Genomic DNA, 2756 nt, shown 5'->3' with positions numbered 1-2756 from the left:
ATGAATGTGACCCAAATACGGTCATATTCGTAGTTATCAGGAGTTTGAATTTCAACTTTTTGGGGCACACTATTCAATATGTGAAGTGCTCAACAGAGCACTTGGACAGAGGAAGCCCTACAAATTTTATCTATTATTACCATTATTATTACTTGACATATTAAAAATAAAACTGTAATATATTTGATAATGACTTATCATGATGGAATAGAAATCCAGAGAGGACAAGGACTCACTCCATATCAGAAGGAGAACCAAGGAGTTTGTGTATTCCAAGGGCAAGCCAAGCACAAGATGGATAAGCCCCGGAATGCAGAGTTACCCACAATGCAAAAAAGTCCCCAAGGAAACAGACCCTAGTGCAATGGGAGAAGGTCTGAAGTTGAACAAAAATGGGCACAATCCCAGGTGAGTGTTGAGAAAGAAAGGAATGCCCTGGTAGGTAAGCTGTGGCTTCACTCATTTCTACATTCAATCATCAATCATTTATCACGCATCTACTAGCATCAGGGTTACTAGGTGCTAAGGACTCTGAGCCTAGCAAGAATGTTATGTTTTGAAAGATTGCTGGTATTTTGGAACAATCTTTTAAAATTTGTTTGCTTTTATCATGAAATTAAAGTTATTGGAAAATAATGGAGGAAATTAGAAGACCCAAGCGGACAGTTGTGGCACAAAAAAGGCTTTAGGCTTCAAAAGCCAGGCAAACTAGATGTGAGGGCCTTGGTCATGCAATGTCACCTTTCTAAGCCTCACTTTTCTCCTCTATAACACAGATGATAATACTCCTCATATCTCCATGAGGGAGGTCCTGGAACGTGGAAGGTTTGTAATAAAAACACCTTTCCCTTTCAGATGAGTGTTTTAGAAAGAGGGCTTCAAATGTCCTAGCACTCTGCTATGTAATATGACACTCATTTTCCCTAAATCGACTTTCACCAGAGGCTAATGGGCTGTTTTCTTTCAGTTCAAGCAAGATATTTTCCTGGCTATGTTATAGCTGGAAAGAAAAGCAAGAAATATAGAATACAGTGAACTTGGGAAGTCTTTCCTGTAAAAACCCCAGCAGATTTATCACAGATGTCTGGCCCACTCATGGCCTTCTCCTGAATTCTATTAAGAATAATAACAAACAATCAGGAAACTGAACTCCAAAGCCCAGAAAACAGTGTTCTGGGTCTTTGGCAAAGTGGGGTCATGTGCAGACACAGGAGACCCAAAGCACCCCAGGCACTCCTTGGTTGCTGCGACAAGGAAGTCAGCAATTACTGAGCACCCCTGCAACTGGACACTGTGCTGGGCCCTTTCACACACATGCACACCTTTGGATCTTGCAAAGATCTCCGGATCCCTGTGGCCCCCATTTTTCAGATAAAAAAACCTGGGGCTCAGAGGGGTAAGTAGTTTATGCTAATGTTCTCAAGCAGGAAGGCACATTGGAGTCACTTGGGGAGTTTTTTAGAATACAGAGGTTCTGATTCAGCCGGCCTGGGGTGGGGCTCTGGCATGCGCATGTTTTTAAAGTGTCAGAGGAGAGCCCAAAGTATACATTCTGCTGGCTCCCAAGTCTGCCAGATTTAGACACGGGTCGCAGTTCTGCCAGTATCTAATGAGGTAGCATGGGGCAAGTTACTTCATCTCTCTGAGCCTCAGTTTCTACCTCGGTCAAATGGGGATAATAAAACCCAATCCATAAAGTTATTTTACCCAAGATTAAATATGGTAATGGATGAAAAGCACTTATATTAGTGGCTAACGCATAGTAAGTGCTCAATATACTGTAGCTAGAAATACAATTACTGATTAGTTGGGTGGCCTTGAGCAATTTACTTAACCCTGACACTTAATGTCCTCTTCTGTAAAATGAGGAAATCTTTAGAAAACATTTTGCTCCACTTAACCTTGAATGGGCCCCTACTAATACGTTTCTCTTCCAGTGAGGAGGGACCTTAACAGCTACTTAAGAGATGAACCAATTCTGGGCAAGCAGTAAGTTGAACAAGAAAACAATTTTTATTCCAGGCCCATGTGTTTTTGTTCTGTCTTCTGAAGATCTGGCCCGTCTTCTGTAAGCTGTATCTGCAGCCGATGCTGCTGACAGGTCTGCAAATGACTCCCAACCTGCTTTTCCAATAATATTCTCTTCATGCTTCCTAGAGCACGCACAGAAGGGAGGAGCATGACTCAGGTTGAAATCACAGTCATAGGCTCCATAATTTTGCTCTTCCAGTTCGCAGTCATGAGTGAATGATAGAATGTAGAACCCAGCCATCTGTTCACGCCTAAACATTTATGTACTATGTGCCAGATACTATTCTAGGTGCTAAAGATACTAAAATAAGACACAAGACTGGCCCTTGTGTGCACAATCAAAGGAGAGGAGACCAGTCATGAAGTGGGGTCAGCATTGTGACTGAGGGAAGAACAGATGCCTGGGGGTACACTTAGAGGGAGTTCAAAGCCAGGGATCACTCTTTTACTCACTAATGCTTTCATTATAAGCACTTGTTGTGTGCCAGGCTCTAAGCTGGGCACTGGATTATCTGGATCATCATTAGATCCAGTCTCAGGGTTGGAGCTGCTTAGGTCACTGGGCTCTCTCATCCATTTACGCCTAGGACATAATGCTATTCCCAGAGGCCTAGGCTTCTGGTGCTCAAGGCCTCTGGAGCTCTGGGCCTGTTTAGGTAGAAAAGCTGAGAGCGCACAGAGGAGAGAATGACTGTTCTACAGACATGTGTGTGGCCTTTATCCTG

General features: G+C 43.0%; 1 annotated feature.

Moving 5' to 3' along the window:
• Positions 2137–2306: an enhancer, noted in NCBI's record as "experimental_8522 CRE fragment used in MPRA reporter constructs". NCBI's record gives its function as "activates a minimal promoter by MPRAs in K562 erythroleukemia cells, with activity observed for the non-introgressed 1:56024965 variant allele {active_cell/tissue: K562}" and the evidence as "EXISTENCE:reporter gene assay evidence [ECO:0000049][PMID:34662402]".

Source organism: Homo sapiens, chromosome 1, assembly GCF_000001405.40.
Source record: "Homo sapiens chromosome 1, GRCh38.p14 Primary Assembly".
Taxonomy (NCBI): domain Eukaryota; kingdom Metazoa; phylum Chordata; class Mammalia; order Primates; family Hominidae; genus Homo; species Homo sapiens.
This window is presented reverse-complemented; position numbering and strand designations above follow the sequence as displayed.